General features: G+C 37.7%; 1 protein-coding gene and 1 long non-coding RNA gene across 5 annotated transcripts in view; one reads left to right on the top strand and one right to left on the bottom strand.

Annotated features, from left to right (window-relative positions):
- The window catches only part of STPG2 (sperm tail PG-rich repeat containing 2), a 702,228-nt gene extending 684,015 nt beyond the window's left edge, over nucleotides 1-18,213 (top strand). For all 4 annotated transcript variants that reach the window (XM_047450118.1, XM_017008049.3, XM_011531886.4 and 1 more), the window contains 2 exons: nucleotides 10,574-10,722; nucleotides 17,928-18,213. In XM_047450118.1, coding sequence (XP_047306074.1) covers nucleotides 10,574-10,711 — 138 coding nt within the window. In that variant the 3' untranslated portion in view covers nucleotides 10,712-10,722; nucleotides 17,928-18,213. The remainder of the gene's footprint in view (nucleotides 1-10,573; nucleotides 10,723-17,927) is intronic.
- The window catches only part of STPG2-AS1 (STPG2 antisense RNA 1), a 123,239-nt gene that overhangs the window by 30,703 nt on the left and 70,720 nt on the right, over nucleotides 1-21,816 (bottom strand). The window contains exons 2-3 of the long non-coding RNA NR_102713.1: nucleotides 20,041-20,108; nucleotides 17,903-18,052 (exon numbers count right to left, since the gene is read on the bottom strand). This is a non-coding gene — a long non-coding RNA (STPG2 antisense RNA 1). The remainder of the gene's footprint in view (nucleotides 1-17,902; nucleotides 18,053-20,040; nucleotides 20,109-21,816) is intronic.

Here is a 21,816-nt window from a genome sequence, read left to right as displayed (position 1 = left end):
TCTCAAAAAAAAAAAAAAAAACAAAAAAAAACAGGCATCCTTTGAATTGCATGATACTGGATTGAATAGAGGACTTCTGTTTCTAGGGAAGATGAATTGTAACCAGAATATTAGCGAAAGAGAAGTTGACCACTTGAATGTCTAGAAAAGTGACTTCATGTTTACAGTTTAAATTTTGTTTCAACACTTATTTTGAAAAATCCAAATGTTGAAACACTAATTGTTAATATATTGTATCATTTGCACTCTTCCTTTCTGCCTCTTTGTGTGGGCGTCTCTCTCTCACACAGTGATACACATATATTTATAAATTATTATTATTATTGGAGAATATATTCGTAGGAAATTATATATTGTGTAACCGTTTGAATCTACCAGATATAATAATTTTTACCTTCAAATACTTTCGCATGTATCTCCTAACAATGAAGATAATTTTCCTCTGTAACCATAAAACATTATCAAATTCAGGAAGTTTTTTATTGTTACATATTATTATCTATAATATAGTCTTTATTTTACTTTTGCTAATTGCCCTGATAATATTCTACACCCAGAATTATCCATTGAATTTAGTTATCATGTTCCTTTAATATCCTTTAATCTAGAACACTTCCTCAGTCTTTCTTTGTCTTTCAGGGACATCAACCTTTTTGAAGCTATTTGGTATGATTAGTTTCAGTATTTGTTGATTTTCTGTCCTAACATGTCTGTATCTAATCAGAACTACAAAAGTTAACAGGTCATTATCCTCTCATCCTTCTTTGACAGGGAACAATGTAATGATTTTTTTAAACATTTCCATTGTGCTTTGAAAAGGCATTAATCACTCCAGGGGAAAAATATATTTAGTTACTATTCAATCAAACGTATGAATTAAATCACTTTAATAACCTCTTGTGACTGAAAAGTTTTAAGCAATGTGTTTTTCTTCACATAATGAATATATACTATATATTTATAATTTCAGTGAGAATTATAAACCATGGAAAATTAGAATATATTCATTTTGCCTTTCATTTCATTATGAGTTTGAGAAAGAAAGCATAGCTCTTTAACATTGTATTGATTTTACCTCAATTATAATTCATATTTCAAACTCATTCATCATAATTTCAACGAAATGACAAATGAATTGTTCTTCAGTTCATATTAATTTTAAACCAATTTTGCATCCATAGAACACAGAATATAAAAATTCTAAGTGGACATTAGGCTACTCTTTGCTGCAGACAAGTACTTTCAGATACTTTTGTATTCTGAAAGCTACAATTTGAACATGGTTTCAATGAAGATCAAATACACTTAGGAGCCATCTCGTATTCATTCCTATTTTCAGGTGAAAAATGCTTTGAATACCAAATATCTGTTTTCATCTCTCTAGTAAGAACGCTAGTCTTTTTACTTCTCCCACTTGCACATGATTTAAGAGAAAGTACGTTGTTAATTGGAAAATGTTTTTGCATAGTTATGAACCTCTGATTATGTGCTGTCATCCATATCACTTTATTTTTTTCACCTAACAGTGCAATGAGTGTTAAAGTTTAGTTCTTTCATCACTGCCACCTCTTCATCATGGTTATTTAAGCCATTAAATTTTCCTCTAGGTTTCTTTTAACATCACCCCATTCCTCAAATGCTCTGCAGTTTAAAATTTCATGCTTAAGTTCCAGATTTTTAGTCTTTTCCAAACCCAAGCTGTCTCTTCATATACTTATTCTACTTTCACGTATTATTTGCAGCAATGGTGATTTTAACCCTTTATTTTTTGTTGCAAACTGTTAAAAGACAAACTTAGGCACATTAAAATGTTAGAGGTTTTTTTTGTTGTTTGTTTTTTGTTTGTTTTGAGCAAACAGTGATTTGGGAATTGGGCAGCACAACACCAGAAGTGGTTCAGAACTCCACCTAGGGGGTGTGAGGTGAAAACTTATATAAGGTGTTCATGGAAGCATGACAATGAAAATATTTGCTTGGCTAAAGGGGAATGTTCCTAGTTAAATGTTAATTGGTGGCCTATGCCTAGTTAAGCTTCAGTCTTGTTTCACTGTTTACACTGAGTTGGGTTTGGTTTGATTACATAGGCACTGGAGTTGCGTCAGCCTAATGGCCTCCTAATTAAGTTTTGGCAATTATGAACAAGATACCTGTAAGCATTCATGTGCAGGTTTTTGAATAGACATAAGTGTTCATTTCATCTGGTTAAATAACAAAGAGTATGATCACTGGGTCATATGGGAAGAATATGTTTAGTTTCGTTAAAATACTGCCAAAATACTTTCCAAAGTGGCTGTGTCATTTTGTATTCCCACCAGCAAGGAATAAGAGTACTTTTGCTTTACATCCTCACCACTATTTGGTATTATCAATGTTTTGCTTTTTGATCATTCGGATCAGTAGGTAGTGGTATCTCACTATTGTTTTCATTTGCAATTCTCTAATGACATATGATGTGGAACATCTTTTAATATGCTTATTTGCCATTATATAATCTTCTTTGGCAAGGTATCTATCTATTCAGGTATTTTACCCATCTTTTTTTTTTTTTTAATTTTCTTTTTTTTTTTTTTGAGACGGAGCACTCTGTTACCCAGGCTGGAGTGCGGTGGCGCGATCTCAGCTCACTCTAGCTCCAACTCCTGGATTCACGCCATTCTCCTGCCTCAGCCTCCTGAGTAGCTCGGACTACAGGCGCCTGCCACCACACCTGGCTAATTTTTTGTATTTTTTAGTAGAGATGGGGTTTCACCATGTTAGCCAGGATGGTCCTGATCTCCTGACCCCGTGATCCACCCGCCTCAGCCTCCCAAAGTGCTGGGATTACAGGCATAAGCCACCGCTCCCGGCCCCATCTTTTATTTTCTTATTGTTGAGTTTTAAGACTTCTTTGTATATTTTGTATAACATTCCTTTGTCAGTAATATGGTTTGGCTCTGTGTTCCTACCCAAATCTCATGATGAATTATGATCTTCTGCATTGGAGGAGGGGTTTGGTGCTTGGTGCTTGGTGGGAGGTAACTGGATCATGGGGAGAGGTTTCCTCCTTGCTGTTCTCATGATAGTGAGTGAATTCTCCCAAGATCTGGTTTTTCAAAAGTGCATGGCACTTTCCCCCTTGGCTCTCTCTCTCTCTCCCCTTCCTGCTGGCCATGTGAAAATGTGCTTGCTTCCCCTTTGCTTTCCGCCATGATTGTAAGTTTCCTGAGGCCTCCCAGCCATGCTTCCTGTACAGCTGTGGAACTCTGTGCCAATTAAAGCTCTTCATAAATTACCCCGTTTCGGGTAGTTCTTTATGGCAATGTGAGAACAGACTAATATAATCAAATATGTCTTTTACAAATGTTTTCTTGGAGTCTGTAGCTAGTCTTCTTATTTTCTTGACAGTGTCTTTTGCAGAACAAAAGTTTTTAATTTTAGTGAAATTCAGTTTGTTTTTTCATGGACTATGCCTTTGATATTGTTGTATGTAAAATATTGACACGGGAAACATTCCCTTGTTCCCCTCGCGGGGTGTGCAACAGCAGGAGTGGCTCACTTCTTCAGTGCCCCACTGCTCAAACCTCTGGGAGGAGAATGTAGATGGGCAGGTTGTGGGGCTCCAACTGCATGGCAGTGTCTAGGGGTGAATGCTTAAAGCTCCTGAAGCCTCAGTTGGGCATGTGTTACAGCGTGCTCTTTCAGTTTAACCATCCATAAGTGGCTTGTGTTTATAAGCTCAATTAGACCCTCTGCCTCATTGCAAGGACAGAGGGCTTTCTGTATCCTGGGCTTCTTGCCTTGGTGTACTGGAAGAATTATATCACATGTGAGCTTGGAGAATGAACGTAAGGTTTTATTCCGTGGAAGTAGTTCTCAGCAGATGGGAGAGCCAGAAGGGGATGTAGTGGGAAGGTGGTTTTTCCCCTGGAGTCAGGCCGCTCAGCAGCCAGGCTCTCCTCTGACCACCCTGGCAAAACTCCATGTTCTTCCATTGGTTGATGGCCTGCCAACATCTGCTGGTGTCTGCTGGTGTGTTCTTCCACTGTTGTGTTCCTCTTGACATCCAGCCGCTTGTGTCTCCTCCCACTAGGGTCTCGGGGTTTTTATAGGCACAGGTTGGAGGCATGGTGGGCCAGGGTGGTCTCGGGAAATGCAACATTTGGACACAAAAACAAATGCCTGTCTTTACCTAGGTCTGTGGACACAGGGCTGGGAGTGGAACCCTAACCATAGGCCCTGCCATTCTCTTCCCAGCACTTCCCTGCCCCACTCCTGTATCAATGTCATTGCCAAACACGTCATCTAGATTTTCTTTTGTGTTATCTCCTAGGAGTTTTCTAGTTTTGCATTTTACACTGAGGTCTGTGATCTCTTTTGAGCTATTTTTTGTGAAGGTTATAAGATCTGTGTCTAGATTTTTTTTTCTATCAATCTGTTTGTTTCTTTTTTTCACCAATAACATACTGTCTTGATAACTGTAGCTGTATAATAAGACTTGAAGTGCTGTAGTAGGAATATTTTTGCTAGTAAACAGTAGGCATGTTTTAGAACCAAATATACCAGCTTTATATAATGTTTGTTGCAGCATTCTATTTTTTCTATATTAGGAATAATTTCTAAAACATTGTCAGGAATTCTTTCTAGACAGTTTGAAAGACTTTACTGGCTTTCTTATTATATAAAACAACAACATAAATATCATCTCAGATACTTCTTTGTACATAGTCATGATATATTCCTAAAACAAAATTCTAGGCATGATATTCATTTGTATTTTCTTTTAGTTATTCTAATATTCCAGATTTTTTTTTAACATTTAAACATTTAACTTTGCATGGGCACATAACATGAAGATATGCTATATATTTATTTTTACAAATACAAAACTGATTATTCCAGTAGTGGCAACTTTTGAATCCCTTTTCTTTTTTTTTTTTTTTTTTTTTTTTTTTTTTTTTTTTTTGAGACGGAGTCTCGCTCTGTCGCCCAGGCCGGACTGCGGACTGCAGTGGCGCAATCTCGGCTCACTGCAAGCTCTGCTTCCCGGGTTCACGCCATTCTCCTGCCTCAGCCTCCCGAGTAGCTGGGACTACAGGCGCCCGCCACCGCGCCCGGCTAATTTTTTGTATTTTTAGTAGAGACGGGGTTTCACCTTGTTAGCCAGGATGGTCTCGATCTCCTGACCTCATGATCCACCCGCCTCGGCCTCCCAAAGTGCTGGGATTACAGGCGTTAGCCACCGTGCCCGGCGAATCCCTTTTCTGTTGATTGAAATGCCAGCTTATACACTAAATGCCTATTTTTAAGCCTGGCAAGCTTCTTTTTCATTAAATTTACCACCTGTTTTTAAGCTTAAGCCATGTTGTTTTAAATATTATATATTTATATTGTTTTATAATGTGTGGTACTATCTCAGTTTTATAAATCTTTCTAAGAACAATCTTGAGTTTTAGTCTCCTTCAGATCTAGGAGCCTTTGGGGAAGAGTATAGGGAGAATGGCTGCAAGGAATAACTTAGGAAGAGTTTCATTTCTTTCCTCTGCTCTACATAAAGCCTTATACCTCCACCTCTCTTCTACTTCTCTAGTGCCCAAATTCAGACATCCTAGTGTCTCCTTTTGGTCTGATTTCTATGTCTGAAACAAAGTTGACTATGCATACTTCTAAGTTTGTGCTGAGCGTGGTGCCAGGACTGAAACCTGGGACCTCTCAATACTAGTCGGACTCCAGTATATTGTTTTCAATGATACCACACTAATTCCTCATTTTTAGAGAATGGCAAACTTTCAACTTCCTGAAGTCAATATTTTTTCTTGGAAGTCATTTGGGGATGGGAAACAGGAGGCCTGAATTGACTCTCTTACCCTCCTTTCAGTCTATTGCTGTCCCTGTTATGTCAAGGAGTAATTCTTTGAAAATTTCAGCAGATCAGTATCCCATTGTCACAGGATCTTTGAGGTCTTGCTTTTCTGACCTGAAACCTCTGGCCGGTGGTGCCTTTGCCCGAGTTTTGCTCAGGCCCGCTGGGCTGGTTCTGCCCACTCAGCCTGGCAGGCTGTGCCCAGCTCACTCTACTGGCCTGGATCCCATGCCTGCCAAGGAAGAGTCAGGCGTGGAGCAGCAAAGGGTGTGTGAGCAAGTGTGGGGTCCAGATACTGCACAGTCAGACATACTGGCTGCTGTAGCAGGGTGGGCAGCTCCAGTGCCGACATGGATGTCAGCTCTCTGCGAGGCTGCAGCTGGACCAGGTGCACCACAAGCAGCTTCCCCTGCTGGCTCCAGAACATGCAGTGGCACCCGGAAGCTTGGAGATGCCAGGCACTGCAGGACCCCAAAGAGGGAGTCACAGCCCTGGCTCAGGGAGCTCCCAAGTCTGGGATCCCTGAAGGGCCACAGCTCTTCTCTCCTTTTCTTTGCCCACAAGGTGGTAAACAAGTTCATGTTTCAACCCTGTTTGTGTTCTAGCTCTTTTAACTCCACCATTCGGTGGGTTCTGAGTTCTTGCCCTGTGACCAGGAAGAATGAGGTACACAGACAAGTGGAAGATGAATAAGATGAAGAGAAGTTATATTGAGCAATAGAACGCTTGCAGGAGACCCACAGGGGATAGCTCCTTTCCACAGTCAGGGCGTTCTGATGAGTGTTCAGCTCCTAGCAGAGAGAAGACCCTGGAGTGGGAAGTTCCTCTCTGCAGGCAGGTCATCCCATTGTTTTCCCAACTCTCAGCAGAGAGGAGACCCTGGAGTGGGTTGCTCCTCTCTGCAGCTGGTAGTCCTGATGTCTCTGCAGGTCTCTGAAGCTCTCAGCAGATAGGCGGTCCTAGAGTGGGTAGCTCCTCTCTGCTGTTGGTCATCTTGACGTCTCCTGCTGTCAACAATAAGGGTTGCTCCTCTTTGTAGTTGGTTGTCCAGTTATCTGCTCAGCTCTGGCTGAGCCTGGGGCTTTTATGGGCCTCAGAGGGGAGGAAGTACATGCCAACTGGTCCATGGGCAGCCATGGGCAAGCCCAGAAGAGGCACCACAAGTTCCCACTCTAGTTTGTAGGACTGGCAGCCTGGCCCAGCCTTCAGGCCGTTCCTGGCCTAAAAAAGGTGGGGCCTCTCTGGAGACCTGCCCCATTCCACCCAGGAATCTGTCTGTCTCCACCTGTCCTTTATGGTGCCCAGGCTCCACCTGACTTTGCTCCAAAATTGGAGAAGGTGTGGAGAGCCGGGAGAAGCCAGGAAGCAGGAGCAGGCGTTTCTGAGCCTGTGAGGGCATGAGGGCCTTCCTGGGCCCCCAGGTGTGTAGGGATGCCTGAGTCTGCAGCCAGGGTTTGGATAGCTACAGCTGCAGCTGTGCTGGGGGCGGGGGGGGGGGGGGGTGGGGGCGGGGCTCCTGCCTGCTCTATGGAGCAGGAGGACTGGCTCTGCAGCTGCAGTTTGGGTAGCTGCAATGGCACCCAGGGAGCTCCTGCCTCAACTTAGCAGGGGTAGAACTCCTGCTTGTCCCCAGATCCTGCAGGCTCCATGGAGTGTGCAGTCCTGGCTGCACCTCCCTGGTGCAGCATACCTGATGGCAGCCACAGGCTGTCTGGAGCAGCTGCTGCCATCACTATTTCTGTTCTTCAACATTAACACATGATTTTCTCTAATTGCATATTTTATTAGTAATTTCTATGGGAATTTGAGTAGGAAGAATTATTGATGGCAGTAATAGAGAAAAACAATAAGATATCAGATGGAGAGTCTCTCAATTCCACTATATTTTATTCATAATTTATATACATCTGGATTTGTCTTATAATCCTTTGCAACTCTTGGAATAGATCACTCCTTTTCACTAATTCTGATACCTCCAAATATACTTTAGATCTTATTTCCTTCTGTATTTTCTGGCACATTTCACTATGTTATTTATCTCTCTTTCTCAAGTACAAGGTGATCCCTGTTGTCTTTAAATAGTTTTGAATCTTTTCTGTTAACAAAAGAAAAATAAAATTATAAAAAAGATCTCTATTTCCTATTTTTGAAACTAAACTTCTTAAAAAGAAGTTCATTGCTGTTCTACCTCCTCTCCTTTCCTCTCCTCTCCTCTCCTCTCTTCTCCCCTCCTTTTCCCTTCCTTTCTCAATATTCTGCAGTCTGGATTATATGCACTTTAATTTACCTCAACTAAATTAATTAATATCCATTTCTCTTAATATAATGGGCATATTTCTGTCCACTTCACCACTTTTCAGTAGTACTGAAATCTTAAAACCAGACAGATACATTCACTTCTCTTGGCTTTCCTAACATACCACTCTCTGACATTCTAATCTGTTTTATAGGCTTCTACCCCATATCTGGCTATGAATTTGAGAGTTCGTAAAGTCTTGACCCTGGGTCTTTCTCTTATTCTATAATCTCTCAGTAGTCTATTTGTAGATAACCTGCACATTTTCATTTTTAACCCATACTTCCCCCTCTGAACATTGGTCTATAGTGTCTTCCCTGCCTCCAGAAGGTAATTCTAACCTGAAAAACATCTTGATTAGTAATTCTTATTTAAAAATATATGTAAATAAATATTAATAATTCCCTTTGAAATTAGTAGTACACAATTATTTTAGTAGTTAAATAAGTGCATGTAGGATATTTAATATTTATACAAGAAAAACATTAATGTAAAATACAATAATGTGATTTTCCAAAAAGCAATAATATCTTAAAAACTTTGTAATAAACTTTAATGGCCTCTCATTACTTTTGTCATCACCAAAATCCTTAACATGGCCTACTTAGGTCTGTGGCACTATCCCTCATGAGGCCTATCTTGCTCCGTGCCATTCCAGGCTTATTAGCCTACTTTCAGTTACTAAAACATGCTACAGGATCTTTGCCTGTGTTGATCTTTGAGTCTGGAGTGCCTCCCCTGACCCTATTCCCCACCGTTGCCTGATTAAGTCCTATCTTTACTTCATATTTCCTTTCAATTGTCACATCCTTAATGAACCCTCTGATCTCCTTTACTTGGTCCATTCTTCTTATTTTGTCTCCATGTACCTCTTCTTGGGAGTTCTTATCAATGTTTGATTTTATATGTATTTTATGATTATCTCATTATTGGTAATAGATTTTGTGAGACCTGGGATTATGTATTTTTGGCTGACAATTTTATTATTAGATCTTTGTAGAGTGCCTGATATATAGTAGGCACCTGATGTTCACTCACAGAATAAATAAAAGAAGGAGGGAATAAGTGGAAGTTTCCCAGTTTTTCTTCTATAAATCATGAAATATTTTGGATTATGACTGAAGCTTGGGGGTAATTCTATGAATGTTGATTTTTTATTTTTTATTATTTTTCTAAGCAATCGGACTTATATGTATAATTCTCTTTAGTTCAATAGTTATTCGAAAGGCTCTCTTTAGACTTTTTAATGATTGAAGGATTACCCCACAAACTTTATTCAGTTCCAATTTTATATTTTTTCTGAAACTAATTTTTGTTCATATTATAAATAAGTATTGGTGACTTTTTACAATATATCTTCAAATTAATGTTACTTTCCTTTAGGCTACATTGTTTGCATTGGAATTGTGTTTCTGTTTGTTTATGCTGTTAAAAGAAGACATCTATGCAAAATCAAAACAATAGGATATGTGGATTGCCCTGGCTGTGTGCTCTCACTCTGATCATGGAAATACATGAAGCTGACTTTAAACCTGTAACTCTCATTCTATTACATGAAGACAGTCAATGAAAAACTATAAATCTAAGAATGCAGTATTCTCAACTTGTACTTACTAACTATGCATCTCAATTTCTAACTTTTTAATCTATCCTATTATATGGCATTCTTGTGGAGGGGAAGATTAAAAAAAGAGGATCATTGATATAGCTATGTTAGGACTAATACATATCACATAGGAGGCACTCAAATGAATACTGATTGAGTGACTTCCATTAATTTCGTTCTTTAATCAGCTCCTTTTTGCAAAAAATTTGTTGGACATTCCTCACAGCAATGGAAATCAGAGTTTGTTTTACTTTTAAAAGTTCCTTTGAAGTTTTGTCTTTCTTGATGTTTTCATTGATATGTTGAATGGTGAATGGAAATTGTCTTTATCTTGTTACTGCCTGTTAATAGTAGGAAAATAGGCAGATAATATGCATTTAACAAACATTTGTTGAAAGGATAAATGCTGAGAGAAGGCACATCTGGAAAGTCAATATCTGCTTTCATTGGAAGCAAAATTTATTTTGGGAACAAAAATTATTTGATATTAATACATGCAAAAATGTACATATTGCTTTTTTTAAAAGAAATTTTAGATTTCATCAAAGGTTTTTGCCTCTACCAAATATATATGACTTTTAGAAGAATATTTAATATGCATTAAGTTCATGACTTGTAACTTTTATATATTTTATTTTATTTTTTACTTTTGTATAGTTTAAATTATATTTATATATGTTAGCCCTAGGAATCCAAACATGTAAGATATCAATAAATGGCATTGGTAAGTTAGTTTATGTTAATGAGTTCATTATTAATTAATGTAAAATAATATTTCAAAGTTTATAAATGATACAATTAAAATATGCTATTCTTTTTTTAATATCCTCAGCTCAGTCCATTTTTAAGGCATACTGTTCTGAAGAGAACATTTAATGTAACTCTGCCAAATTCTTTCTTGATTGATAGAGAAATCACTCCTACTCTAGAACAAAAAGCCAAACAAAAACACCAAGGAGGCAAAATATAATCTACTAAATGGTGAGTGTATCAGTTCGTTCTCACACTGATATAAAGAAATACACAAGACTGGGTAATTTATAAAGGAAAGAGGTTTAATTGACTCAGTTTCACATGACTGGGGAGGTCTCAGGAAACTTCCAATCATGGTGGAAGGCATATGAGAAGCAAGTACCTTCTTCACAAGGTGGGAGAAAAGAGAGAGGGAAGAGGAACTGCCAAACACTTATAAAATCATCAGATGTCATGAGAACTCAGTCACTATCATGAGAACAGCATGGGGGAAAACACCCCCATGATCCAATTACCTCCCATCAGGTCCCTCCTTTGACATGTGGGGATTACAATTTGAGATGAGATTTCGGTGGGGACACAGAGCCAAACCATATCATTCTGTCCCTGGACCCTCCCAAATCTTATGTCCTTTTTACATTTCAGAACAAATCATGCCTTCCCAACAGTCCCCCAAACACTTACTTCAGCATTAGCTCAAAAGCCCATAGTCCAAAGTCTCATTTGAGACAAGGTAAGTCCCTTCCACCTATGAGCTTGTGAAATCAAAAGCAAGTTAGTTACTTCCAAGATACAATATGGGGACAAGCACTGGATAAATGCTCCCATTTCAAATGGGAGAAATTGGCCAAAACCAAGGGGCTATAAGCCCCATGTGAGTCTGAAAGCCAACAGGGCAGAGATTAAATCCTAAAGTTCCAAAATAATCTCCTTTGACTCCATGTCTCACATCCAGGGCATGCTGATGAAATGGGGAGGGGGCTCCCACAGCCTTGGGCAGTTCTTTCACTGGCTGGTGTTGAGTGCCTGCAGCTTTCCCAGCTGCAGGGTGCAAGCTGTCAGTAGACCTACTATTCTTGGGTCTGGATAAGGGTGGCTTTCTTCTCACAGCTCCACTAGGAGATGCACCAGTGGGGACTCTGTGAGGGGGCTCCAACCCTACATTTCCCTTCCACACTGCTCTAGCAGAGATTCTCTAAAAGGGCTCTGACCCTGCGAAAGACTTCTGCCTGGACATCCAGGCATTTCCATACATCCTCTGAAATCTAGGCAGAGGTTCCCAAACTGCAATTCCTGACTTGTATGCACCCTCAGGCCCAACACTACATGTAAACCACCAAATCTTGGAGCTTGCACCCTCTGAAGCAACAGTTTGAACCATACCTTGCCCGTTTTAGCCAAGGCTGGAGCTGAAGCATCTGGGTCATAGGACACCATATACTGAGGCTGCACAGAGCAGTGGAAGACTTGGTCCCAGCCCACAGAACCATTTTTCCCTCCTAGGCCTCTAGGCCTGTGATAGGAGGGGCTGCCACTAAGGTCTCTGACATGCCATGGAGACATTTTGCCAATTTTCTTGGCAATTAACATTTGGCTCCTTATTACTTATGCAAATTTCTGCAGATGGCTTGAATTTCTCCCCAGAAAATAGATTTTTCTTTTCTACTACATGGTAAGGCTGCAAATTTTTCAAACTTTTATGCTCCACGTGCCTTTTAAATGTAAGTTCCAATTTCAGATCATCTCTCTCAAGTTCAATGCTCCACAGATTTCCAGGGCAGGAGCAAAATTCTGCCAGTCACTTTGCTAAAGCATAGCAAGAGTAATCTTTACTCCAGTTCCCAATGAGTTCCTCGTCTCCATATGAGACCACTTCAGCCTAAACTTCATTGTCCACATCACTATCAGCATTTTGGTCAAAACCATTTAACAAGTCTCTAGGAAGTTCCAAACTTTTCCTCATCTTCCTATCTTCTTCTGAGCCCTCCAAACTGCTCCAACCTCTGCCTGTTACCCAGTTCCAAAGTTGCTTCCACATTTTCATGTTATCTTTATAGCAGTACCCCACTTCTTGTACCAATTTCCTGCCCAGTCTCATGCTGCTATGAAGAAATACCTGAGACTGGGTAATTTATAAAGGAAAGAGGTTTAACTGATTCACAGTTCAGCATGGCTGGGGAGGCCTTGGGAAACTTACAATCATGGTGGAAGGCGAAGGAGAAGCCAGTACCTTCTTCACAATGTGGCAGAAAAGACAGAGGGAAGAGGTACTGCCAACACTTATAAAACCATCAGATCTCATGAGAACTTAGTCAATGTCATGAGAACAGCACAGGGGAAACCGTACCCATCATCCAATCACCTCCCACCTGGTCCCTCCCTTGATACATGGGAATTGCAATTTGAGATGAGATTTGGGTGAGAACACAGAGCCAAACCATATCAGTGAGTATACCTGTCCTCCCTAAGTTATATGGTTACTACATTTTTATAATCCATAAGTTAACTGCCATACACAATCTGTTGGTCAGAATATATTTTTCTGTCCTCAAAGCAATATATTTGTATCGCTCTTCTAGAAACTGGTTGTGTTTATGGCTCCAAGGTGTAATTAACAGATTATAATAGAAGACAATCTGTGTTCCTCTAGAGATAAGTTCTAATCTGGTCAAGAATAGCCAGTACATGATCCTTACATTTTTATAAAGTCTGTTTTTCATTTGCCTTTAATAACAAGATAAAATAGTTACCTTAATCAGGTGAGTTGCTTTTTAATTAACCTATCTTTTTAATACAAATAAATTTCTGTAATGTTATGCTTTAGTCAGTTGTTGTAGGATTATATCTTATTTTAGCATGTAGACTTTTTTAGTTAAATTGCATTATCAAGCAGTTTTGAATTAAAAGTTGGCATGTTTATATGAAAAGTTAATATATATTGAACTATGGGTTACACACTGAATATATAATAAGGACTGTAACAGTGGCTTAGACTTCAAGGTTTTTGTAAGATAAGACTGGATTTGAAAAATTGGATGTTATTATTTCCCAGAAAAAGATTCCTTTTCTTTTCAGTATCCACACCATTAATTGGCTTTGTATTTCAGGAGGAAACTACTGAGATTATATTAATTCCTAGGGAACTAGATTCTAAACAGAAAATTATTTGCTAAAGTAATAAAATATAAAGTTTAATATCTGATATATCATTAACCTGCTTATTAGAGTAGTAGATCAAATTCATATAGATGCCATCAGTTTATTCATGCCATAGACTATTGCTGTCCATGATGGTAGCCACTAGCCACATGTGACTATTTGGCACTTGGAATATGGCTATTGCAAACTGCAATGTGCTGTAAGTCTAAAATGAATACCAGATTTTGAAGACAGTTTTAGAAAAAAGTGTAAAATATCTCATTAATAATATTGTGTATTTATTACATGCCAAAATGATAATATTTAAGGTTTACTGGATAAAATAAAATATACTATTAAGATTATTTTTGTCTGTTTATTTTTACTTCTTATGTGGTCGTTAGAAAAATAAAATTACTTTTGTGGCTCAAATTATAGTTCTATTAGACAGTGCTGGTCTAGAACATTCATAATTTAGAATAGTTAATTCATCAGTAGATTGTATAGAAAAACAATGTGTACAATAATGTCAATTTTAATTTCGTCTCACAAATTATACTTTTGCTTCTATTATATATCTTGTTATGGCAGAGAGAAATAGTCCATTGACTTTACTTATAATCTTTATTAGTTATCAATATGTAGTACATTCTTTACAAGGCAAAGATTTTTAAATGATTTTATTTAATTTAAAACCACAGCCTCAACTTATTATTTTTATCATTTTCAATTTTATATCTGTTGACTCCACAATAGATTATTATCATCATTACTTAAGTTATTATTATTATTTGAGATGGAGTCTTGCTCTGTCACCCAGGCTGGAGTGCAGTGGCACGATCTCCACTCACTGCAAGCTCTGCCTCCTGGGTTCACGCCATTCTCTTGCCTCAGCCTCCTGAGTAGCTGGGACCACAGGCGCCTGCTACCATCCCTGGCTAATTTTGCTAATTTTTGTATTTTTAGTAGAGACGGGGTTTCACGATGTTAGCCAGGATGGTCTCGATCTCCTGACCTCATGATCCTCCCACCTCGGCCTCCCAAAGTGCTGGGATTACAGGTGTGAGCCACTGCACCCAGCCTACTTAAGTTATTTTTATTTTGATTTACCCACATATTTAACTCTTTCATTGTTCTTCTTTCCTTCTTTCATTTCTGTGCTTCTCCTTAGATTATTAGTCTTCTGTCTAATGAACTCCTTTGAATATGTATGTTTGCACAGGTTTGCTGTTGATGAGTTTTCTCAGTTGTTTGTCTGAAAACATCTTTATTTCTTTTCCCTTTTTGAAGGATATTTTTGCTGAATAAAGAAGTTCAGGTTGGCATATTTTCTTTGAGCATTTACAAAATGTCATTCTATTGTTTTCTGCCCTCTATAGTTTCTAATGAAGTGTCTTTCCTTTGAAGGTAATGTCTTTTATTTATCTGACTGCTTTTACAACTTTTTTATGCGTTAAAAAAAGTCAATTTTACTCTAATCCTCTTAGATTTTCCTACCTTCTGCCCCAATTCTCCTTGGTGTTTGTTAATACTCTGGATTGTGTGGATTGATGTCTTTCTATTGGCTCTGAAAGTTTCTCATCTATTATCTTTTCAAATATTGCTTCTTTAACATTTCTCTCTTCTCTTACACAAATGCAATTACAGATATTAAATTGTGTCTCATGTGTCTTGTATGCTCTTTTGTATATTATAGATTCTCTTTTCTTTTTGAACTTCAGTCTGTATATTTTATAATAATCTCTCCTTAGTTCAAAAATCCTCTCTTTAGCTGTTTAAACACATCTATTGCATTCTTAATTTAAATGTTAACATTTTCAGTTCTGTAATTTCCTTGGGTTATTATTTGTAAATTCCAGTTACATAGTGAGATTCTTGATCTTGCCAACAATTTTGTTAAGCATTTTATTCTTTATTATTTTAAAATCTGTGATAGATATCTCCAACTCTAATTCACCTTTGGTTCTGCTTATGTTTTAGTTTTCTGTTTTTTGATTATATCTCCTGACATGCCTAGTAAGTTTGATCAAATGTAGAATATTGCTCATGAAAAATTATAGATATAATTTGATGTTTTGTCTCATATTTTCTTCCTTCAGGGAGGATTTCCTTTAGATTTTTCTCAGGTACCTTAAATATGGGGCAGACCTACTTTTCCAGTGTGGGATTGTGCCTGTCCAGAACTGAGTTTCACATTTTTGTTAAGAGTTGATGTAATTCTTATTACCCATATTTTTAGAGTATAACCTTCTCTTATTCTAATAATAGGAAGTCAGAGATATTAACTAGAGTCCCTTCTCCAATCTTTTCTTCTTCCATCCTGGGAAACTGCCAAATACCCCGTTTTGCTGCCTATATCTTTAGCTGCTACTCTTGATTCCATTTGATATCCTGATAACCCTATACCAGATAAAATTTAGCAAATGTCTTAAGGAGGAACATGACACGATGCCAGAATTCCCTTATTCTTCTTCCTTTTTCTTTGTAATTTAGTTTCTTGACATCCTGCCTTATTAGACTACAAGTTTTATCTTTAGAGATCCCGATAAGGCCAAAGTCTCAGCTTAGGTTTTTATCCGCCTTGTGGCTGTCTTCTTGGTCTTTTGGCCTTGTGCTATTTAGAAACTAAAAGATTCCTCGAGGGAAATGTAAGGCTCACTTCAGTATTACACCTGCCTCACTATTCTCACCAAATTTCTGGCCCTTCAAAACTTGGTTGTCTGTATAGTTTTCCATTCAGTTAAATAGGTTTAAGCCGAAATAAATTCTATAGATTTTATTTGTTGCATGGACTGCAACAAGTTATTCTTTGCCATGTCTGAATTTCTTTACCAGTTTGTCAAGCTCCTTTCCTTTCAACTCTCAATTTATGAAATCCTATACCTTCAATGAATAGTTACAATTAAGAAAGAATATCTCCTAGACATGAGGTATCCTGCCATGTAACTATTTACTCATAATTCTATAAAAAGCACACACCCTTTTAAGGAAATATATTTATTAAACTTACTTGCAGATTTATTTTTTGAGAATTACCATTGTCACATTAGAAACTAAGAATATGTTATGGTTGTATGTTTCATTATTTAACTATTTTTACATGGTGTCACACAAAAATAAGCCCTTAGAAATGCTTTAGTATTCCAGGCATGCTCACTTCCATTCGAAGCCCTCTGTTAAATAAGCCTTCAGCAGGCAAAGCCAGACTAGCCCCCTGTCTAACTTTATCATTACAGATGGACACAAAGACCCAATTCTATCTTTTCTGTTTCTACACTCTCGTATTATTACCACTGAAGACCCTCAAAAAGCTACCAGAGTTGCATTCAGAATTATTCTGCATTTCAGTAAATATAATATCATTTGGAGTCTCCCTACTTTAATTAACTTTAATTAAAAACAATTTTTTTCTACAATTAGAGATAAGTTTAATGCTTGGCTGAGCTACTACACCAACTCTAAAGAAAATGAGTGAGTTAACATGTTCAAATAGCTGTTATCAGCTCTAATTATGTTTGCATGAAGAAAGAACAAGCTAGATAATAGAAGAGTATTGGATGATTGAAAATGGGGAAAGAGTAACCATCTGAATAAAAAAAAAACAAAAAAAAACATGTCATGTAGTAAAAGTGATATAGCCAGAAAAAATTCTGTGCAGTTCACAGGTTTGCCCTTGGGTCAAGCCACATTTTCTTCAACTTTTCCTAGTCATAATGGACATCAACATAAAATATTTTCATATAGGTAGTCTCACGTACCTGAAGCTTAGTGAAAAAAAAGGTATTTCTGCTAAGATAATATCTAGTAGAGCCTCTAATGTGTTACAAGTTTATTTTATAACTAAATTTGTTATAAAATATTTTTATTCTCAAAATACTTGTCAGTGGAGAAAATAGTGTATTAAATTATATTGTGAAAGTTTTAACAGGTTATTTGATTTCTATTTCTTTTTTGCTCTGTCGTAACATTTTATCTTATTAGACTCACTATTATCATGATGTAATGTCTAAACAATTGCAGAATATATACTTCTATATATGCCTTTAAGTACTCAAATCTTCAGCAGAGTCAAAAGGACAATAAATACAGAAGCCAGAATTATGACATAATATGAACTACTTGATATCAATGAGATTTAGTTAATTTGGTTAGAAAAAAAGAGTATTTTGTGAAATTTTATATCTTTTTTATTAGAAGTAATTTAACTAGAGAAGCCATCTGAAAGAATATTTTGACTTAGGTGGAGAAGTAAAATAGAGATACCACTTACTGAAATAGCTTTTCTTTTCCCACAGATATAGTCCAAAGGTAATATCTATTAATATAAACGTAAGCTGACAGTTCTCTCACAAAGAAGTACTTCCATGTTGATAATGTCCTCCATCAGCTGCTCACAGGAACATAATTGCTCTTCTAACATCTAGAGATAAAAAATACGTTCTTATATAATATTTGTTTTTTTCAGAAAATGTTTCCTGTTACAAAAGCAGTATGTATATATATTCATTGCATTCTTTCTAAGCGTGTACTACTGATGCATCCATATAAAATATAATGCTGAATAAAGACATCTGATGAAAAGCCTTTCTTTTTTACTTTAGAGTCTCATTCTCTAACCAGAGAATGCAATTACTTTCCAAATACTAGGCATGCTGAAACAAAGTGAATGATGTTATTATGCATATGTGTTATTCCCTTGACTTTTTTCTTACTCTTCATTTCTCTGAAATGCTAAAAGTAGAAAATAAAAATCATAAAAGGAATATTCAATATGTTTTACTTTGTATAACTTTTATGTGCAAATAGGAAAAAAAAGAAAAAATGATTAAATTGTGGCAATATACTGAATTATCTTCAATATCCTACATATTTGAGGAAGATGGGTAAATTCAAATATCATGTCCCAAAACTTTTGGCATTAATGCTCTACTTCTAACATGGTCTTGTAAAACAAATTAGTTGGAGATAAGGATTTATCAATAGTATTTAATGTTTCTAGAGGAGCATACCCTCTTTGAAATTTTAACAAAAGCTATGGAAACTTCAATGATGAAAGTGGATTTATGCAAGCAATCTAAAACTAACATAATTCTAAAAGATTCAAGTACTCCTGAAATTTTCAATGTGTTCTGATTTAAGAAAAGTGTATCTAAAATATCTCCATTAATGTGCCTAAAATTAATCATTCAAGATTGGAGCAATAAAACCCCCCAAAATGGCCAATAAATACTTGCTCTTCCATTGAATTGGATGATTTGAATTGAATTGAATTGGGAAAACAGCACAGAACTGGTGGTTGATGGAGAGGAGACTTTGAGCTCATCTCCTAATTACATAACCCTAAACTAACTAGTTAATCACCTAGTTCTTTGTTCTATGGCTCCAAAATGAAGCAGTTGATGTACTAGATCAGTAGATGTCAAACATAGAGGACACTTCGCAATCACCAAGTGAGGTGGTAGAATAACACAATTTTCTAACATCTAACAACTCTCCACCTAGTAGTGCCTGTATTCTGAAATAGGTCCTGAAACCTATGTTTTTCTATAGGTATTTATGTGATGTAGTTAAGCTCTAGCTACATGATCCCCAAGGTTTCTATCATCCCTATAGTATTTCTTTTGGAAATTACCTTTTTATACGTCATATAAACCATGCAAAATATAGTTGTGGTTGCAGAAAACTCAGACAACCAGGAGTATTTGAAGTGCATTACATATGTTGCAACACCCTTGCATGTATTCTTTTTTTAAAAAAAGAAAAAAAATAAAACCGTATGGGATGATTTTTACTTTCGTATTTTTAATTCTTTTCCTCTATAATATATTATGTAATATGCAAAACTTGTTCATGAATAAAGAATAGAAAGATGAAAATTCAGAATGTGGGAGAGAATTGCCAGTCAACTTTTAAGACAATGTTTTAATTATTCAGTAGAATAATTCTTATGTCTATAATCTTCTTATGTATTAACATATTCTAAACCAGAACTAGTAAAAATGCATAAATTTTCATTCTACTATTATAACAAAATAATATAAACTTCTTGTCACCTAAAAACAAAGTTGAGAATTCAATATGTGAACACTGCATGGGAAGCATAATTATTTTGATATTTTTGGAAGAGTAAATGATCTTGTTTTTAAAATGATAGCCTTTCTGTAATATTAAATTAATAATTTTAAGAGAACTACAGAAGAGATAAGCAAAAAAAATAAAATAGTAAAATAGAAAAGGCATTTTATATATATGTATATATACACACACATATATATCTCTTTGGAAAGATGAGTAAAAATATAAATAGAATCAAACAATACAAAAGACTATGAAAAAATTATATATTATTAAAAATATGAATAGGATAGAGGGTCTCAGAATATTCATTTTTCTCTGAAACAAACTTACCACAAGAAGCAAGAAATTGTTGGAAGAAATCTGCTTGGCGTCAGTGAAGCTTTCAAAAGACATTTCCTCTGTGAAAAAAGAGCAAATAATTCTGAAGCTGGAACATGTTGAGGCAAAGAAAACTCAGCTAATCGAACTAAAAATGACATTATTGATAATAGGGAAATTTAACAATTTATAAAATAAAATTGATGATGTAGCAGTTCAGCTTTAGTAACACAGAATTCACAGGGAAACAAGTAATAAAAATAATGATTAAGTTGGGATGGTTAGGAGATCCCAGGTATGCCCCATTTTGCATTCCTAACCATGTCAGTGTAGACCAGTCACTGGCAATTAACTTTTGTAAAACTGGAAGATTTCTCCTTTTTCAAAGGCTTGGAACCAGAGATCCCAAGGGAGATAATGATTTAACCATTCTCTGAGAATGTATTCTGCAGAACACAGTGATTGCTTCAAATTAGAAAGATTGAAAGGGATGGCTAATTTCCATAACTTTGACAAAAATGTTTGTAAAAATACTGAACAGCTGCCTTCTTCAGCTCAAAATTCAACACAACTAAAATAGTATTATACTGATCCATTAAAATTTTTTATGCCCAGTATGTTAGTCTGTTTTGCATCATTATAAAGGACTATCTGGACTGGATAATTTATAAAGAAAAGGAGGTTTATTTGGCTCATGGTTCTGCAGGCTGTTTAAGAAGTGTTGTGCTAGCATCACCTTCTGGTGAGTCCTCAGGAACTTACAATCATGGCAGAAGGCAAAGGGGTGAGAGGTGACAGCGTGCTGGCAGCCCTTGCAGCCCTTGCTCACTCTCAGCACCTCCTCAGCCTTGGTGCCCACTCTGGCCACGCTTGAGGAGCCCTTCAGACTGCCGCTGCACTGTGGGAACCCCTTTCTGGGCTGGCCAAGTCTGGAGCCAGCTCCCTCAGCTTGCGGCAGGTGTGCAGGGAGAGGCACAGATGGGAACCAGGGCTGTGCATGGCGCTTGAGGGCCAGCATGAGTTCCGGGTGGGCATGGGATCAGCGGGCCCCGCACTCAGAGCAGCTGGTGGGCCCCACCGGCCCCCGCCAGTGATGGGCTTAGCACCCAGGCCAGCAGCTGCGGAGGGTGTGCCAGGTCCCCCAGCAGTGCTGGCCCACCAGCACCACGCTCAATTTCTTGCCAGGCCTTAGCTGCCTCCCCATGGGGCAGGGCTCAGGACCTGCAGCCCACCATGCCTGAGCCTCCCCAATCCCCCGCCGTGGGCTCCTGTATGGCCCGAGCCTCCCTGATGAGCGCTGCCCCCTGCTCCACAGTGCCTGGTCCCATCAACCGCCCAAGGGCTGAGGAGTGTGGGCGCACAGCACGGGACTGGCAGGCAGCTCCACCTGTGGCCCCGGTGCGGGATCCACTGGGTGAAGCCAGCTGGGCTTCTGAGTCTGGTGGGGACATGGAAAATCTTTATGTCTAGCTAAGGGATTGTAAATGCACCAATCAGCACTCTGTCTAGCTCAGGGTTTGTGAATACACCAATCAGCACTCTGTATCTAGCTGATCTGGTGGGGACTTGGAGAACCTTTATGTCGACCTAAGGGATTGTGAATGCACCAATCAGCACCCTGTGTCTAGCTCAGGGTTTGTGAATGCACCAATCGGCACTCTGTATCTAGCTCGAGGTTTGTAAATGCACCAATCAGCACTCTGTGTCTAGCTCAGAGTTTGTAAATACACCAATCGACACTCTGTATCTAGCTAATCTAGTGGGGACATGGAGAACTTCTGCGTCTAG

The sequence above is a fragment of the Homo sapiens genome, chromosome 4 (assembly GCF_000001405.40).
Source record: "Homo sapiens chromosome 4, GRCh38.p14 Primary Assembly".
NCBI lineage: Eukaryota > Metazoa > Chordata > Mammalia > Primates > Hominidae > Homo > Homo sapiens.
This window is presented reverse-complemented; position numbering and strand designations above follow the sequence as displayed.